Genomic DNA, 18,941 nt, shown 5'->3' with positions numbered 1-18,941 from the left:
CACAGCAACCTCCGCCTCCAGGGTTCAAACGATTCTCCTGCCTCAGCCTGTCGAGTAGGTCTCTGGGATTACAGGCGCCCACCACCACGCCTGGTTAGTTTTTGTGTTTTTAGTAGAGATGGGGTTTCACCACGTTTGCAAGACTGGTCTCGAACTACTGACCTCAGGTGATCTGCCCACCTCGGCCCCCTAAAGTGTTGTGATTACAGGCGTGAACCACTGCACCCGGCCGAAGACCCCATTCTTGAAGGACACACCCACCAGGCCCATGACCAGGTGTGGTTCCACCACAACGTCTCCTGATAGAGTTCATGCTTGTCTCATAGAAATTCAGATCTGGACAAACGCCTAAAGACCGCTTTCCATCTCAGAAGGGAAACTCGGAAAGAAAGGCCTGTCCTGACATGTCACAGCAAATGGAGAGGAGTCCTTATGCCCATCATTCTCGTTCGCATCGCGGGGTCCTGCTGACTGCGCAGCACCTGCCGCCGACCAGCTTGCGGCCACTGGGAGGCGCCGGAGGGAGGCCCAGCCAGGGCGCTTCTCACCTCCGCCTCAGGCGGCGCAGCTGCTGGGTTTCAGCGTCGCCCGCACCGCCTCCCTCCGCAGGCCCAGAGCTTCCTGGGGATACTTCTCCATGTGGTTCCAGTTCCCACCAGGCGACTCTCCTTTGTCCCTGCAGTGCTAGGGATTTGAGCAGCAACTTGGTGCTGAGGAGTCCTGGGTTGCCTGCTGTTTCCTGTTTGGTGTCTCAGCTATTCCAGTACCTTAGTAACCAGATCTATGCAACAGCGACTCTGACGAACCACCTCGAGTGGGCAGGGGCTGCCTCCCCGCCTCTTCCCCTCCTCCTCCTCTCTTCCTTCTCTCCTCCTCCTCTTTCTCCTCCTCCTCCCCCTCCTCTTCCTCTTCCCCTCTTCCTCCTCGTCCCCTCCTCCTCCTCCATTCTCCTCCTCTCCCTGCTCCTCTTACCCCCTCCTCTTCCCCCTCTCCTCGTCATCCTCATTCTCCTCTTCCTCCTCCTGGCTTTTTTTTTTTTTTTTCCTGACTGGCCCCTGGCCAAAACAGCCATGATCAAGAATGAATTTTTCTAAACCCCGTGCAACAGTCTTTCCAGAAAGCTGTATTTTCTCTCCCTCTGCGGGTGTTACTTTCCTCAGTTTTGTTCTCTGCCTTTTTTGTATCTTTCCCTCTTCTTGCCTCAAGTTCCGTGGATACTTGGGAGCTGTCCTCCAAGACAGCCTTCTGGGTCTAGGGAGGGCCTGAATGAAGCCGCTGTTGAGAACATGGTCATGGGACACCCGTCACTAAAGCCATCGCTCGATAGAAAGACAAAATTATGTTTGTTGTGGGGAAACTGCAGGCAGAGAAGCAGCAGAGCACACAGCCCGGAGTTGGGCCTGGGCTGGCACAGCTGTGCTGGGCGCAGGGTGGAAAAGCTCCAGAAGCACCACGCCCTGTAAAGCCCTTCACTCTATAGGCCAAATGGCAACATCTGGGCAATTAGAAAACACTGGAAGCTTCCCGGTCAGGAAGTGGCCTTGTGTGGAGAGAAGCCTCTGAAGCTTAGCAGCTAGTCTCAGTGTGTTTTACGTTGAGCAATTCAGAAAGCTAAGCCAGCTCTCTGCTAAATGAGGGAGGAAATAAGCCCCGAGCTGATCTATTCAGTCTGCCTAGCCCTGCTTTGAATGGAGTTGTTATTCAAGTGTTTCTTATAAGACTATGTGCTTGTGCTACAAGCACCCGAAAGATAATTTGCGTCTCATTAATATATGAGTGTTCCTGTCCCCACGGCTGTTCTGCTGCCAAAGCAGCTGAGATTTCTGCCCTCATATTCAGCCTCTGAGAGCCCTGAGGGGGTCCCGGGTCTTCCTGGCCTCACAGCTTGACTGTATAGTCACAATCTTCCTTTCACAGCTGCTCCCATTGCACTTCTTAGGTTCTCCCAAAGCTGGCTTCCACACCCGCTAGGGGCTTTATCCTGGTGACCCTTCCATAGATTAGGGAAAAGGAAGCAGCTTCTGCTCATCTGTGGGGAGTCAAGGTTTCCAAGGAGCAGCAACTAGGCCTATTCAGATCTCTGGGAGGTCACCGAGCCAATGGTGCAGAGTGGCCTGAGAGCAGGGCTTCAAGGCCTGGGTCAACCTCCAAGGCTATTTTGAGACTGTGAACAGATCAATCCTATGTTACGCATCTACCAGGTTCCACAGAAACATATGTTCCTAGAACAGAACCACTGGAGCCTTAAAAATGATGAGTTTCATCCATATCAGTGAATATGAAAATTTAACTTTATATGTCAGTCCTAATCGAGTAATTTCATTCTATTTGTATTTAGGTACTTTACAGAAAAGCACCTAAAACATTTGTAACCAAAACATACCAATCAATAAAAATCTATTCAATACACATTCAGGTGTTGGGACAGATATAGAGCTCTGAGAAGTCAGCAATGCTTGGGTATTTCAAAAACAGGATGCCCTTTTTAATACTCAGAGACAGAACACCCATAAACTGTTTCACCTGTCAGCACACCTGTAATAAAATCTTTCCCAAGAAAACTGGCTTTCCAAATCCAAAACTGCTCACTATCTCCTTGGCCATGGGCTCATCATTCTCCCTGAGGCTGACTCTGATGGATTCATGTGCTTGCCCTGGATATTGGCCTGGAACCAGCCAAGATTTCTATCAGGTCTCTATCCCCCATGAGGAAATCAGTCAGGCCCTGAGATACCCATTTCTATACTATATCTAAGCAGCGCCCTGAGGAGGTAGTGTTCTAGAGTAGCTGGGCAGCAACCTGGGAATAGAATTTTCCTCCATGCTCCTTGGCGCAAATTGCATGTCTCCTGGGCCGTCTCACTCATCATGCTTCTGATGTGTCCCCACCACCTCTATTCCCACATCATATTTTTCCTTCATATTCCCTACCTTTTCACAGCCTCCAAGAACGTCTGCCACTTCTAACTGCCTGGACACACACCTCCTTCTGCACCCCATCACTCAGGGAGCTGTGCGCTTCCCTCCAAGATGGTCCTCCTCCTTGTCTACCCCTTACCTTCCTGACCCCACCCTCCAGGGCACCAAGGCCTCTCCAGAGCCATCTGCAGGAGCTCGTGACTGGCCTCCCACCTCTGTCCTCTCACCTCCTGTCTCTGGGCAGTGCTCCAGCCGTCTCCTTGCTAATACCCTTCAGGGGCTCCCTGTGCCCTTAGGCAAAGCTCAAATCCATCAGCCAGCAAGGCCCTGTGTGCTGTGCCTTCTCCACAGTCCCACTCTAACTTTGCTGAATGTATTTCCTCAAAGTACCCAGGACCTGCCAGCTCTGAATACTCACTGCTCCTGGATCATGTGTATATGATCTTCCTTAGTCCAGAGTGTGTTCCCACAGGGTGTGGGCACCATGGCCTGCTGTGACTCCCAGTGGCTTCTTCCCTAGACTGTGGCTTCCAGAGCTGACACCTCTGTTTTTTTTTCTGCTGGATTCTGGTTGTCTAGCACAGTGCCTGGCATATGGTGAATGAGTAAATGCACAATGAATCTTCACCTGTATTTCCCGCCTCACTCTACTGCATTTCAATCCCAGCAACAGCATTTGCAGTTTGTGAAGGCAGGCCTTTGCTTCTGAGAGCCTCTCAGCCCCGCAAGCTATGACTTTTTTTCGACCTCTATTTAATTCCTACGTTCCTCCTACACCCAACAAAAATTCCTTCTTCATCTAAACATTCTCAAATTTCCCCAGCTTGAATTTGTAATTTATTAGTTGAATTGAATCCAAGATTGAATAAGAGACCATAGAGGGAGAGAGGGCTCTAAGCCCTGTTCCTTGGATCATATTAAGTGTGGAAGCTGGGGAAATACTCCCCCAGTCCTGCTTTCCTCTGGGAGGTTCCCATTGGCCTGATAAAGCCTAATGGGTTCCCTAGGGATGTGGATGGAAATACTTAATGCTGTATTAGGATACTTAGAAGACTGCAACACCACACTCACCACTGGCAGAATTGGCCAGCCTGACTCTCTGCATCTCCTAGTAATGTTATGTCAAGCCAGGCTCCTATTGACTCCAGTGGAATGGCACCATGTCTGAGAAGACAAAGAAGACACTCAGAGACAGTGAATGAGACATAGGGTTTATTGGGGGAACTTACATAGGGATGGTCCAGTAGCAGTGGGCTGGACAAGAGAACCACTACTGTTTGTAAAAAGCATGCAGTTTATATAGCATTTTCACTTAGCACCCTCCACCTAGCAACCACCATCTAACCCAAAACAGAAGGCTTTGATCCCCTGTACAACCTATGTTCCAAAGGATGGCTGGGGGTTCAGGTGTCCTTCACAATTAAGGTATGAAACTCCCGGTTGGCCACTCCCGGATTCCTTAGCTTGGGACTCCGAACACACATTCTTCTTAGACCATAATGTCATTCTCAGTGTATTTGCTTAACTTATTATCTTGTTATTGCTGTCAGGTGCGTCTGCCATACAGTGCCTCTGTGTATAGTATATAAGGCCTTGCAGGTGCTGCTTACAGCCAGCAAGTACCCAGGACTTTATATCATTGCATCTCTTCTCCCTTCCCTTGGTTAAAATAATTGCCTCAGGCCCAGTTACAGTTTGCACTCTTGGAAGCATCAAACCCTGGTGCTTCTGAACTTGAGAGATGGCAAGGGAGTGACTATACCATTTCAAAATCCAGAATCTGTGTGGTAAACACTCTGTGGAATGGCCAGATATGCTTTGGCTGGGCTGACAGAGAGCCAACCAGTGTAAACATGCAGAGATTAAAATAAAGCAATAAAATGAAGGCATGTGCATAGTGATGACAGGACAACCAAGTTTTATTAAAATTATTCTGATATTATTCTTGGTAAACATACTTTTGAAAAAGCTAATTAAATTTATATGAAGAAAAAAGAATATTAGATCAATTTATTTTCAAATTGTACTTTGACTATTGATAATTGTTTTTTAATTTCTGCAGATAGGTGCATTTCTCTTCTCATAAAAAGAAAACAAGAATTCCATAAAGCTGTGTTTCCTAGGTGAAATGGTGGGGCAATACCACTGTACAGTGTTTAAAGTTTGACCATGAAGGTTGAGGATTCCTCTTGGTGTGTTTAGAGTTTAAAATATTTGGATTTCAAAATTAGAAGATAATTATATAGAAGCAAGGAATGCTGCATGGAGCTTCGATATTAAATAAGCTATCTTTAGAGACATTTGGGATAATAACCTGGCGCCCATGCACAGAGGACTGACTTGGCCAATAACTGCCATCAAACACTGGGAAAGGATTTACAGGTAAGTCCTCTCCCAGGTGGGGAAACAATAGTGTGAGAGCTGATTGGTATAGCAAAGGGACTCAGGAATTTGCACTGACTTCTAGCAAAGTGACCTCAGTGTTTTGCATCTTCTTGTGTCAATGAAGCAGGAAGCTCTCAGCCAACATTTGTCCTCTTTTCAGTGTCCTCTGGATTGTTCCGCAGCCTCAGCTTTGTTTCCAGCCTCTGCTTCCATTCTTCTCTGAGCCTGAAAATAGAAACCAAACACACAGATGGAGCATTCATTTCCATGGCTCTTGGTTCAGGAGAGCTTTCTTCCTGTCCTCCCAGCCCCTGAAATTGCATGTATGTGTTCAGGTTTTAAAAGGCATGCAGAGGACATGCAAGTTTAAATATATATATATATATATAATTTATTCATATTTATTTATTTATATAAGTAAGAGTAAACAGGCTCTCATTTTTGTTAGAAGTACTTAATCTTAATTCTCTGGATTTTCCTTTGAAAATATATTTGCAGTCAGGGAGAGTAAACCTGTCAGTCTAGACTTCTTTACACAGCAAACCTATCTTTCAACAGCAGAGGTGAAATAAAGATATTTTTAGACGTATGCAAACTGAAAGAAATCACCAGCAGACTGTCACTACATGACATGTTAAAGGAATTCCTTCAAACAGAAGGAAAGTGACACAAGATGGAAATCTGGATGTACACATGGAATGAAAAGCATCTGAAAAGCAACGATGTGGTTATATATTAATACTTTTTAAAACTACTTAAATAGCTTTAAAAATAGCCCACTGTGGTCAGGCACAGTGGCTCACTCCTGTAATCCCAGCACTTTGGGAGGCCAAGGTGGACAGATCACAAGGTCAGGAGTTCGAGACCAGCCTGGCCAATATGGTGAAACCCTGTCTCTACTAAAAGCACAAAAATTAGCTGATCATGGTGGCGGGTGCCTGCAGTTCCAGCTACTCGGAAGGCTGAGGCAGGAGAATTGCTTGAACCTGGGAGGAGGAGGTTGCAGTGAGCCGAAATTGTGCCACTGCACTTCAGCTTGGGTGACGGAGTAAGACTCTGTCTCAAAAAAAAAAAAAAAAAAAAAAAAATAGCCCACCGTTGAAAGTAAAACTATTAATGATGTACTGTGGGGTTATAGCATATGTAGAAGTAAAGTTGTACTTTGTACAATAGCATAAAGGCCAAGAGGGGAGAAATGAGAATATACCATTTTAAGGTTCTTATGCTACACAAAAAGTGATAAAATATCACCTGAAGGCAGGCTGTGATAAGTTAAGGATGTGTATTATATATCCTAAAGCAACCACTAAACACAAAGAACAATAGTTAAATAGCCAACAGAAGAGATAACATGGAATCATAAAAAATACTCACTTGATCCAAAACAAGGCATAAAAAGAGAAAAAGGGAATAAACAACAGATGAGAGAAATAGAGGACACATAGCACGATGGTAGATTTAAAACAAATCATACCAATTAATGTTAATGGTGTAAACAACGCAATAAAAATGCAAAGACTGTCAAATTGGATTTTTAAAAGACAATATCCAAATATATACTGCTTATAAGAAATCCACTTTAAATATGAAGACAAAATAGGTTAAAAGTAAAAGGACGAAGAGATAGTCCATGCTAAACCTAATCAAAGAAGGCTGGTGTGGTTATATTAATATCAAAGTAGATTTCATAGCAAAAAATATTACCAAAGAGAAAGAGGGTCATTTTGCAATAAGAGGGTCAATTCATCAAGATGATATAACAATCTGAAACATTTTTGTACCTAATAACAGAACTTCAAAATACATGAAGCAAAATGTGATAGAACTGCAAGGAGAAGTAGACAAATCTGTATTTATAGCAGAGATTTCAATACCTGTCTTTCAATAATCAGTAAATGATAAGGATATAAAACACTTGAACAACACTATCAACCAACTTGATATAATCAATATTTATAGAATATTCTCCCTAACAACGGCAGAACACACATTCTTTTTCAAACATACATGGAATATTTACGAAGATAGAAAATATTCTGGGCTATAAAACAAGTCTCAATAAATGTAAAAGGGTTCAATATGTTCCCTGTCTGCGATAATTAAATTAGACTTAATAACAGAAAGATATCTGGAAAGTCCCCTAAACATTTTGAAACTAAATAACAAATTCTAAATAACCCATAAATCAAAGAAACAACCATAAATTAAAATTTAAAAAAAGCAATTATAATAATATCAAAAATACAAAATAGAGGTAAATCTGACAAAAGATATATATGACTTATGTGCTGAAAACTGCAAACCATTGCTGAGAGATATTAAAACAGACCTAAATAAAGGGACGTATATATTGTGTTCATATATCAGATACTCTAAATATTATTAGGACGTCATTTCTCCCTAAATTGACCTATAGATTCAATTCCATCCCAATCAAACCAGCAGGCTGTTTTACATAACAGAAACTGACAAGTTGATTCCAAAATTCATATGAAAATGCAGATAACCTAGGATAACTAAAACAATTTTGAAGAAGTTGTAAGACTTACAACACCTGACTTCAAGAATTATTATAAACCTAAGTAATCAAAGCAGTGTGACATTGGGCCAATGGACAAATAGATCAATGGGACAGAAAAGGTCCAAAAACATTCCTACACATAGATGAGTTATTAATTTTCAACAAACGTGCAAAGACAATGTAGTGGAGAAAGGATAGTCTTTTCAGCATATGGTGCTGGAACCACTGGATATGCAAAAAAAGTGAACTGCAGGCTATACCTCACATTATATTAAAAATTAAGTCAAAAGGTATTATTAATCTAAATGTAAAACTTAAATTCATAAGACTTCTAGAAATAAAACAGAAGACAATCTTTGTGACCTTGGGATAGGCAAAGTCTTCTTAGATACAACAAAAGCAAAATCTGTAAAAGAAATTTTTCTCAGCCGGGCGCGGTGGCTCACACCTGTAATCCCAGCACTTTGGGAGGCCGAGGCGGGCAGATCACGAGGTCAGAAGATTGAGACCATCCTGGCTAACACGGTGAAACCCCGTCTCTACTAAAAAATACAAAAAATTAGCTGGGCATGGTGGCGGGCGCCTGTAGTCCCAGTTACTCGGGAGGCTGAGGCAGGAGAATGGCGCGAACCTGGGAGATGGAGCTTGCAGTGGGCCAAGATCGAGCCACTGCACTGGGCGACAGAGTGAGACTCTGTCTCAAAAAAAAAAAAAAAAAAAAAAAAGAAAATTTTCTCGTAAATTAGACTTGATCAAAATTGAGAACATCTCTGCAAAAGAATAAACCCAAAGAAAATGAAAAGAAGACAATGATAAGATGAGAGAAGAAACTAGTAAAATAGTTCTTATCTATTAAGGAGATATGGATATCAATTCAAAGAGTAAGAAAAAAATAGAAAGGAATACAGAAAAGGGAAATCATAAAGCACTCTAAGTAACTAAGATGGTAGAAACAAGCCAGTTACAATAAATGAAAAAGGACTAAACTCACCAATTTATACTAAAATATGTCGGATTAGAAAAACATCCAATCCAACTATGTAGTTTTTTTTTTTTTGAGAAGGCGGGGTCTCTGTTGCCCAGGCTGGATTGCAGTGGCACGATCATGGCTCACTGCAGCCTCGACCTCCCGAGGCTCAAGTGATCCTCCTATTTCAGCCCCACTCCCCCTTTCCCCCGCAGTAGCTGGGACTACAGGCTCGTGGTAGCATGCCTGGCCAATTTTTGTATTTTTTATAGGGACAGAGTTTTGCTATATTGCCCAGCCTGGTCTCAAACTCAAGTGTTCTACCTGCCTTGGCTTCCCAGGGTGCTGGGATTACAGGCATGAGCCACCGTGCTCAGACAACTATGTGCTGTTTAAAAAAGACACATCTAAATTATAAGGACAGAGATAAGTTGAAAATAAGAAAACGGAAAAAAGATATATAAGGCAAATGCTAATAAAAACAAGGTTGGTTTGGCTATATTAACAGACAATATAAAGTCTGTTAATACAGTTATAAAGTCTGTTGATAAAAAGATCTTCAAACAAAAAATCATCAGGGATAAAGTCACTGCCAAATAATAAAAAGGTTCACCTCACTGTGAAGATATTACACTTCTAAATATGCATGCACCTAATAAAGTAGCCTCAAAGTACATACAGAAAAAATTAATGGAACTACTTGGATTGTGAAGAGGTGGTGAGGAAGAAGGGAAAGGGAAATTGCACTCTTTTTTTTCAAGATAACGTTTTTTAGAAAACCTTTGTAGTAGAAGATTTCAAGCATACAAAAAAGTAGAGAAACTAGTAATCTAAGAACTCCCCTATAGCCACTCCCCAGCTTCCTCAGCTTAAGGCTGATCTTGTTTCCCATATCTCCCTTCTCCTGCATGTTAAACAAAATAACTACATTTAGCTATTTTGTCCTTAAATATAATAACTCCTTTAAAAAGAAACTACCTTGCCATTATCACACTTAAAAAATTAACCAGAGGTACTTGATATCATCAAATAAATATTCCATTGGTTCACAATTCTGATTGTCTTTTAATGTTGAACGTTAGGTTGGTTGAATCAGGACCCGAATAAAGCGCACACATTCCTATTTGTTGCTATATCTTTTAGGATTTCTTTAATCTGGAAATTCTCCCTCATCTTTCCCCTTCCCTTGCAGTTTTTGTTTTCTTTTTTTGAAACCAGATTGTTTGTTCTGCCAGAGTATGCACAGTTTGAATTTTGCTGACTGTATTCCTGTGTGACTGTAACCCATTCCTCTGTTTCCTGTATATGCTGTTAATTAGTGGCTAGCACTAGAAGTTTGATTAGATCCGGATTTTTTTTTTTTTTTGACAAAACTACAGTACGGGTGATATAATGGACGGCCATCAAATCTGTCTGGTTATAGATCACCTTTTTTGATGTTAGCAGATATTAATGATCATTAGATCCAATTTACTTTCATTAGGTGTTGCCAAATGTCAATAGCTTCTTTCTACCAATCCCTTTTCACTTGTGTTTGGAGCCTGGAGTCATGGGGGAGGGGCTCTGCAGCAGGAGCTGTAGTCCAGGAGAGATGAAGTCACTGCTAGAAAACAGGACCCAGGGCAGGAAGGGTGTGGGGAAGAAATAGGCAGACTTAGCCTCCAGTCCTCTCATCTCCTGTTGACAGAACCTAGCCAGAAGCTGAAGGACTGGCGATTCAAGGACTAGCATGGGAAGAGGGGTCAGCTGAGGGAGGAGAATTGATGGGGGTGGGGATCAAAGGAGATCAGCCTGGCAAGGAAGCCAGGAATGGGAGTGAGTGCTGGGCCAAAGTAAGTAGGCAGCAAAGACCCATCCAAGAGCCAGTTCCGTGGTTTTCTTGGATCCAGTCAAGCATGCTTTTCTTGAGCACTTCTTATTATATGTTCAGCACTGCAGTAGGGACTTTGGAGAATACACGAGCAATATATAAAAATGGTGGTTTCTCCATTCCACAAATAGGGCAAGCTGTTCCCTTGCCTCGGGGTGTTTGCACATGGCATTTCTTCTGCCTAGAATGCTCTTGTCCATTCTCCTACATTTGCCCAACTCTCTCTTCCCTGAGAGATGAGATTGGAGGGTGCCATGCTAGTTACCTGGAGGGCTGGACCTCAGAGTGCGGGCTGCCAACCAGCATGCCAAGACATCTGCACAGCAGCTCAACAAGCTGCTGGTGCCCAAGGGCCAAGTGAACCAGCTCTGAAGCTGGGACCCCCAGAAGACTGCAGAAAGAAACGCTCAGATCCTGTAGTGGACAGGCGGGAGACGGCAGCATCTGTGTCACCTCCCTGACCAGTTCCAAAATGGGGGAGGTTTGTACACACCCCTGTGTGCATCAGTAGCCCAGGTGCTCCATCTGCTAATGAAAGAAGATCAAGTCTGCACTCCCTCTGCCCACACTCAAAGGGCAGTAACTCTCCAGCATCCCTCTTACTTCTCTTAGTGTCTGTTTCTCTATGATGAAAATAATGATGAGGACACTGAGACCCAGGGAGATTTGGTTGCTCACCCCAGGGACCCAAAAGGGTGAGCCCAGGCAACCAGCTGCAAAGTCTCTGCTGTTCACCACTATTCTGAGCTTGTTCCCACCCTTGCCCACTCTTGCAATTTTGTTTTCATCTTGTTTTTCTCCTCTAAGGAATGTCTTCCTTTGGCGTATTGCTGCTGCCCTATTAGATCCTGGATTGTTAAATGGGAGTGCAGAAGAGGGAGGGGAACTAACATTCCATTTTGTGAAGGGACAACACAGAGTATTAATTAGAGCAGAGCCTCTGGAGCCTGGCTACCCAGAGTCAAATCGGAAGAGGGTGAGGAGAACAAATAAGCTAAAGTCTTCTGCCACCCTATCAACCAGAAAGTTTATCTTCTTGCATTCTTTTATTATATGCATAGATAGATACTGCATATGTGTGTGTGTGTGTGTGTGTGTGTGTGTGTGTGTGTATATATATATATATACATATATATATATCTTTTTTTCTTTTTGAGACAGAGTTTTGCTCTTGTCACCCAGGCTGGAGTGCAATGGCAAGATCTCGGCTCACCACAACCTCTGCCTCCCGGGTTCAAGTGATTCTCCTGCCTCAGCCTCCCGAGTAGCTGGGATTACAGGCATGCACCACCACGCCTAGCTAATTTTGTATTTTTAGTAGAGATGGGGTTTCTCCTTGTTGGTCGGGCTGGTCTCAAACTCTCGACCTCAGGTGATCCGCCCACCTCAGCCTCCCAAAGTGCTGGGATTACAGGCGTGAGTCACCGCACCCGGCCGCATGTATATATTTTTAATGTTTTAACAGCCTGCACAATTTGCTTCAGAGGCTGTTTTGTTCACCCCTTGGCTTGTGCCTCTCTTGGAGCCTTTGGTTTCTGCATCTTCCTTGGGCCAATTTCACTTCACCTGAAGCCTTTTGCCTGCTCCCCAGGGAACCCACACATGGTACAGGACTCTGAGTGGCATAGCCTGGGGGACGAAGATGGCAGGAACTGCAGAAATGACTGGCCACCCAAGTCAGCTTTCTATGCCCTACTTCTGTACTTCAGCAGGTGGGATGGTAGTCGGGAATAAGGCTGAGCAGGTCTCTATAAGTGGGAGGCTGGGTTCCCCTCTAGGGCTCAGGAGAGGCTTTGGGAAGGCAGCAGTAAGTTTACCACCTGTGAATTAAGGCATGCCATCAGTCCAGTGGCCATGGAGTCATGGGCCCTGCTGTCTGGACAGCACACAAGGTCTCATACTCCCTTACCACACATAAGCCATGGCCTCGTCAGACAGCTGGCTGAGCTGTTCCTTTTGAGGGGACAGAGCTCAAAAGGGCGGTCCCTCCCTGCAGCCCATGATGGCTTTCTGCAGTGTGTGTGTGAGGGCAGTGAGCCTGCACTGCTTCCACAGCAAGGTGACCCTCGTTTGCCCACGGGAGTCACTGTACTCCACTGCTCGGCAGACTCACTGGGCCAGAACAGGGATGCACACAAGGGGAGACCCCGCCTTCCCCTCCAGGAACCACGCAGGCCATCTTGTGTTTTCACCTAAATGGGTGCTGAGAACTGGGCACTGCTTCCTTTGCTTGATTGCTTTTCACAGACATAGTGTTTGTACCCCCACCCCTGCCCCATTTAGTGTAACCTCATGTGCTAGAAGGTGACATGGTGACAGAGAGGAGAGAGTTTTCCAGTTCATAAAGATAAGAATTAAAGGAATGTAAGCATGGAAAATTAAAATAATTACCTCCTCTAAGATGCCCATCTGGCATTCTTCTGGGGAAATTAATTTTGCTCTTACAAAACAGACAAGATAATCATGACTTGAAAGTCAGTGAAAGCTCATCGACAGTCACAAAGGTACCACTGGTGCAGATGTTGACAGTGGGGCAATTGCGTGGGGGCTCAGGGAACTCTTAGTACCTTCTGCTCAATTTTGCTGTGAACCTAAAACTGTTCTAAATTATACGATGTATTTTAAAAATTAATTAATTCTAAAAAGTAGACAAACAAGCCACATACTTTCTCAGTGCGCTTCTTCCCAGACGACGTTCCTCTGATTCTCGGTAGTAAGTCTGTTTGCCAATTTCCCTTTCCCAGAAATGCTTGAGATCATGGCAGGTGTTCCGGCAGAAGACCTCCCGACGGGTGTATTGATTGTTCATCCCCTAAAAAGGAAAATAGCCATACAAATAACCAAAAAACATATGAAGAAATGCTCAACATCACTCATCATCAGGGAAATGTAAATTAAAACCACAATGAGATACCTACCATCTTACTCCAATCCACCTTACTCCAATTTGACTGTTTAAAAGTCAAAAACTAATAGGTGTTGGTGCAGATGCAGAGAAAAGAGAACACTTATATGCTGTTGGTAGGAATGTAAATTAGTACAACCTCTTTGGAAAACAGTATGGAGATTTCTCAAAGAACTGAGAGTAGATCTACCATTTGATCCAGCAATTCTGACTACTGGGTACCTACCCAAAGGAAAAGAAGTAATTATATAAAAAAGACACCTGAATGTGTTTGTTTATCACAGCACAATTCACAATTGCAAAGATATGGAGTCAAACTAAGTGCTCATTAACTTATGACTGGATCAAGAAAATGTTTTATGTGTGTGTGTGTGTGTGTGTGTGTGTGTGTGTGTGTGTAATGGAATACTACTCAGCCTAAAAAAGAACAAAATAATGTCTTTTGCAGCAACTCGGATGGAACTGGAAGCCATTATCCTAATGAAGTAACTCTGGAATGGAAAACCAAATACTGCATATTCTCACTTATAAGTGGTAGCTAAGCCACGGGTTTATAAAGGCAAACAGAGTGGTATAATGGGCATTGGAGACTCAGAAGGAAAGAGGTTAGGGATAAAATGTCACTTATTGGGTGCCATGTACACTATTTGGGTGACAAGTGCACTAAAAGCCAAGACTTAAACACTATACAACTTATCCATGTAACCAAAACCCACTTGTACTCCTAAAGCTATTGAAATAAAAAAAAATAGAAGCTGAACCCCCATAAACCATGATCCCTGAGACTCTGCAGGGTATAGGCATCCTGACCCTGCTGTTGACATGAGACAGACCTGGCCAGCCACAGGACCTCTGCAAGTGGGAGGACAATGGTGGCCTCAGTGCTTGCTGCTGGCTGGTTGTCAGGACACAGTGAGATGTGAGTGCAGACCTTCCACAAGCTGGCACCTGGCAAACGCCTCTGCCCTTCCTTCCTCCTCACAGAAGAATCGTTTCTCAACTTCCAGTAGCAGGAACATGCACCAGGAATTTTGTGCACCTAAGTCCATTTCGTTATCACAACATCCACATGAGATGGCCATGACCTTCTTCATCTTTTAGGTGAGATATTTGAGGAGTGACAGGCTTCAGACTTCTGAAAGTTTCCAGGCCCTTTACTAAAGGGGTTTATCAGAGAAAATGGTTCCAGTGCCTGACACCCCAGAGCAAGCTGCTTTGAGGTGTGTGTGTGTGTGTGTGCGTGCACACATGTGGGCTCTTGTGTGTGGAATTATACATATCAGACACTCAAAATGCTCACTTATTACATGCAGAAACTCTGCTTAACTTTCAGACCAGCTGAGTGGATATAGTAGAAAGCTCAAAAGCAGGGGCTGCAGATGTTCCTGTCTGCTGGTGGGAACCCCTGCAGAAGAGTGTGGGGAGATGGGAGCCTGGAGAAGCTGGCCTGGCATGCCCCAGAGAGGATTTGGACCTTATCCCAGGAAGGGCTTTCAGTGGGGAAATGGTGGGTCCAGACAGGCATTTTGCCAGATGTTCTGGGGGCAGAGACTGAAGAGGTGAGAGCGGATGCAGGGGGAGGAGGAACTGGGCTGCTGGAGGAGCCCAGAGCGATGCTGTGACCAGGACGGGAGGGGCAAAGATGATGAAGAGTGGACAGATTCACAGGAAACTCTGTGTGGAAAATGAAGGAGAAGGGGTGTCAGTGGGTACTGCCCTGGCTCTGCCTGTGCACAGATGGGAAATGGAGGAGGAGGGCTATGGGGAGTGGGCTCAGGCTGTGCTGGATGGATGGAGTTTGAGTTTTCTGGGTGCCGACCCCCAGGGGGAAGCACTGGAGGGGTGCCTGACACATGGGTCTGGAACTCAGCATAGAGGTCTGGGCCACAGCTCTCAGAAAGACAGACCGGGACAGTGGGGCAGGGTAGAAGGAGAAAGGGGTTTGAAGCCAGATGTTCACTCCAGACCCGTGTTTCCACTGCCTTGATGCGCCGTCTGTTTGTCACATGGGTTCTCCTGGCGTCAGTTTTCTCATCTTTAAAATTTCTCTGAAGACCGATTTTGACCCTAAGAGTGAAAGTGTTCTGCAATTTATAAAGTTCTGAATAAATATAACTGATGAGCTTGGTCCTGGCCCACTCATTTTTCTGACTGTTGTCTGGCATAGGGATTCATTAGTCTGGCATAGGGACATCATTAGTCTGAGCTAATTAAATGTCATTGACAACTTTGAATAAGTGTGAATCTTTATTTACACACAATATTGAGTGTATGGCTTCTTGGGTATATGACAGATTCATTTATCTCTATCCTTGGTCTGTTGGCCACCATTTAGGAAAGCTTGGATGACAGTAGAAGTTCTTAAGTTGAACCATGTCCTATGTAGGGCCATGCCCAGAGGAGCACTGGGTAAGAGCGTTTGTCCTGTGTTCTTTCACTTCTGATACGTCAGAGATAAGCCTCACCATGCCCACTCACTGGGAGGTGTCCCACATGTGTAAAATGGGAGATACATGTTTTTCTAAGAAATAGCAGAGCTCCCTTTGGGTTGAAGAGTGACATCCATCTCTACCTCCATCCGCATAACGTTATTTTACAAACTAACCAGCTGTGTGTGTATGTTTTGCTGGAAAATGCTGCTGACACAATGGTGAAAACAAGTAAAATCTCTAAGAAAAAATGCATTTCACTTTTAAACAAACTACCTTGTCTTCTTAACTTGTTTTAGTCATTGTCCTCACTATGAGCAGAACTGTAGTGGCTACTATCACCAATTTTGTAGCTTCAAAGAAACACAATTAATGATAACTTTAGAAATACACTTTTAGGAAAAGATAAGGCAGAAAGAGGGGATTAAATATATTTAGGCCGGGTGCAGTGGCTCACACCTGTAATCCCAGCACTTTGGGAGGCTGAGGCTGGAGGATCACTTGATCCCAGTAGTTTGAGACCAGGCTGGGCAACATACAGAGATCCTGTCTCTATAAAAATAAAAAATAAAAAATTAGCTGGGCGTAGTGCTACGTGCCTGTGGTCCCAGCTACTCAGGAGGCTGAGGTAGAAAGATTGCTTGAGCCCAAGAGGTCAAGGCTAAAGTGAGCCATGTTTGTACCACTGCACTCCAGCCTGGGGGACAAAGCGAGACCCTGTCTCAAACAAACAAACAAACAAACAAACAAATATCTAATACCCCATCCTTCTTCACTCTAAACGGCTGACACTGGGATAAGACAGGGCCCCTCCTCAGGGGACTTCAGATAACAGGGAGTGAGGCACTGGCACTTCACGTGATAGGCACTGAAATGGGACACACAAGGAGGGTGCCCTGACCTGGCCGAGGGTTTGGGGCTCCTTCTAGGGGGAGGGACTTGCAGGATGAGCGGGCAGGAGCACCCAGGGTGCAGGAAGTGACCTGTGCAGAGACCTGCAGTGGAAATCTTGCAGAACAAAGAGTTGCAGAAACAGATTGGGGATTGGCTGAGGTCGAGTTGGGGGAGGGGACTGAGGGCAAAGGAGCATGGGGGCACTTTTTAGGGTAATGGAAATGTTCTGTGTCTTGTTTTTTATTTATTTATTTATTTATTTATTTATTTATTTAGAAGGAGTTTCACTCTGTCACCCAGGCTGGATTGCAGTGGCACGATCTCAGCTCACTGCAACCTCCACCTCCTGGGTTCAAGTGATTCTCCTGCTTCAGCCTCCCCAGTATCTGGGATTACAGGTGCCTGCTACCACGCCGGGCTAATTTTTGTATTTTTAGTAGAGACAGGGTTTCGCCATGTTGGCCAGGCTGGTCTCAAACTCCTGACCTCAGGTGATCCACCGGCCTTGGTCTTCAAAAGTGCTGGGATTACAGGTGTGAGCCACTGTGCCCAGCCTGTGTCTTGTTTATAGTGTTGATTATATAGCAGTGTACAATTGCTAAAACTTACCAAACTCTACATTTTATATGAGTGAATTTCACTACACATAAGTTATTCCTCAGTAAACATAGGTAAAAAGCTTCTTCTGTCTTTGGACTAGAAGTTCAAGTTCCCTGGCTCTAACCTACTGGGAGACTGTTAGCATCTTGTCATTAGGGTTTAGCCCATTCCTTCACAGGTAACGTGTTTCCGTGAGTATTTGTGTTTCGGTTTCCTGGTGTCTACAATGAGGACAACTGCTCCTCCTAGTAGAAGTGTGATGAGGAGACTGTCCATAGTTGGAAAGCTCTTGATAAGTAAATAGCTCTATTCCTCTGTATCCCCTCTGCCCAAAACGCCATCTAATCTTGTACTTGAGAGAATTCGTGCTGCTGCGTCCAGTGAATCAGCACCAACTTGGACAAACCATAACCTCCATAACCATTAGGAATTTTACTTCACAAAATCAACAAATTAATTAACACTTACAGAGAACAACCGCATGAAGGGATGTGAAGACATCGATTCAGTCGAACCAAATGTGTCGCACTTGACCGCCTGTGAGGCATCTGTGCTGCCCCAGGAGCCAATTCACGTTCAGCAAATCAACAAGAACAAAGGAACATTTGTCCCTCGCAAGCCTTAACGCTGTGCCAGCAATTTGATTTCCCAAGTCTCAGTTACCCAGAGTATTAAACTCAAATTGAGAAATCTGAGAGTTGCTTTTTTAAAAGAGGCTTTTGGCTTACACTGAGCGTGCTTGTGGCTCTTGGCTAGGGAGGTTCAATGCACACCAGCTGACTGTGCACACTGCTCATGTACTTCTTGCCTATTCAACACCTCCTGAGAGCAAGTATTTCATGATTATGTTTCACATATCCAAAAGTATGTTTAACCGCCTTTTACATTTTTCTTTATGATTGGGGCTTGAAATAGAACAGAAGGGTTCCAGTTCCAAGTAAGATGGAGGAAGCATACCCTAACCTGTCCCTCCAAAGAATGCAGCCTGGACAGAATGTGTGGCGCAGCTGTTTCAGGACTCTGAAAAGTAAACAGCAGCAGGTAGATTAGAGGAAAAACCCCAGAATTCCAATTACCATTGAACAGTGCTAAATTTTCTATTTTTACTGTGGTATCCCCAGTTTAGACTCAAGGCAACCCAGAAGTGGGGACAAGGGTAGAAAGAGCTCTGAGAAGCCCTCTGGTTCCAGGGAGAAAGGGAATTGGAACTCTCACACATTGCTGGCAGGACTGCAGAATGGTACAGGTATTATTGTGAAAAACAGTTTGGCAGCAGTTTCTTTTCTTTTTTATTTAATTAATTAATTTATTTATTTTGAGAGGAAGTTTCCCTCTTGTTGCCCAGGCTGGAGTGCAATGGTGCAATCTCGGCTCACTGCAACATCCACCTCCCAGGTTCAAGCGATTCTCCTGCCTCAGCCTCCCAAGTAGCTGGGATTACAGGCACCCAC

The 18,941-nt window shown here is 44.3% G+C and overlaps 1 protein-coding gene across 1 annotated transcript, besides 3 other annotated features; it reads right to left on the bottom strand.

The window, feature by feature from the left end:
• Positions 280 to 1,028: an enhancer, noted in NCBI's record as "H3K27ac-H3K4me1 hESC enhancer chr3:46671119-46671867 (GRCh37/hg19 assembly coordinates)". NCBI's record gives its function as "activates a minimal SCP1, AML or CMV promoter by ChIP-STARR-seq in naive H9 embryonic stem cells {active_cell/tissue: H9 hESC(naive)}" and the evidence as "EXISTENCE:reporter gene assay evidence [ECO:0000049][PMID:30033119]".
• Positions 542 to 591: a silencer, noted in NCBI's record as "silent region_14290". NCBI's record gives its function as "represses an Ori minimal core promoter by ATAC-STARR-seq in GM12878 lymphoblastoid cells {active_cell/tissue: GM12878}" and the evidence as "EXISTENCE:reporter gene assay evidence [ECO:0000049][PMID:35858748]".
• On the bottom strand, positions 4,114 to 18,132 carry FAM240A (family with sequence similarity 240 member A). Its single transcript, NM_001195442.2, has 3 exons — positions 17,959 to 18,132; positions 13,329 to 13,474; positions 4,114 to 5,529 (listed from the first exon to the last, which is right to left on the bottom strand). The coding sequence occupies exons 1-3, from the start codon at positions 17,971 to 17,973 to the stop codon at positions 5,439 to 5,441; spliced, it is 252 nt and encodes an 83-aa protein (NP_001182371.2). The 5' UTR covers positions 17,974 to 18,132; the 3' UTR covers positions 4,114 to 5,438.
• Positions 12,162 to 12,662: an enhancer, noted in NCBI's record as "H3K4me1 hESC enhancer chr3:46659485-46659985 (GRCh37/hg19 assembly coordinates)". NCBI's record gives its function as "activates a minimal SCP1, AML or CMV promoter by ChIP-STARR-seq in naive H9 embryonic stem cells {active_cell/tissue: H9 hESC(naive)}" and the evidence as "EXISTENCE:reporter gene assay evidence [ECO:0000049][PMID:30033119]".
• Positions 18,133 to 18,941: the final 809 nt, after the last annotated feature.

This window comes from Homo sapiens, chromosome 3, assembly GCF_000001405.40.
Source record: "Homo sapiens chromosome 3, GRCh38.p14 Primary Assembly".
NCBI lineage: Eukaryota > Metazoa > Chordata > Mammalia > Primates > Hominidae > Homo > Homo sapiens.
Note: the sequence above shows the minus strand (reverse complement) of the source record. Positions and strands in the feature narration are given on the sequence as shown.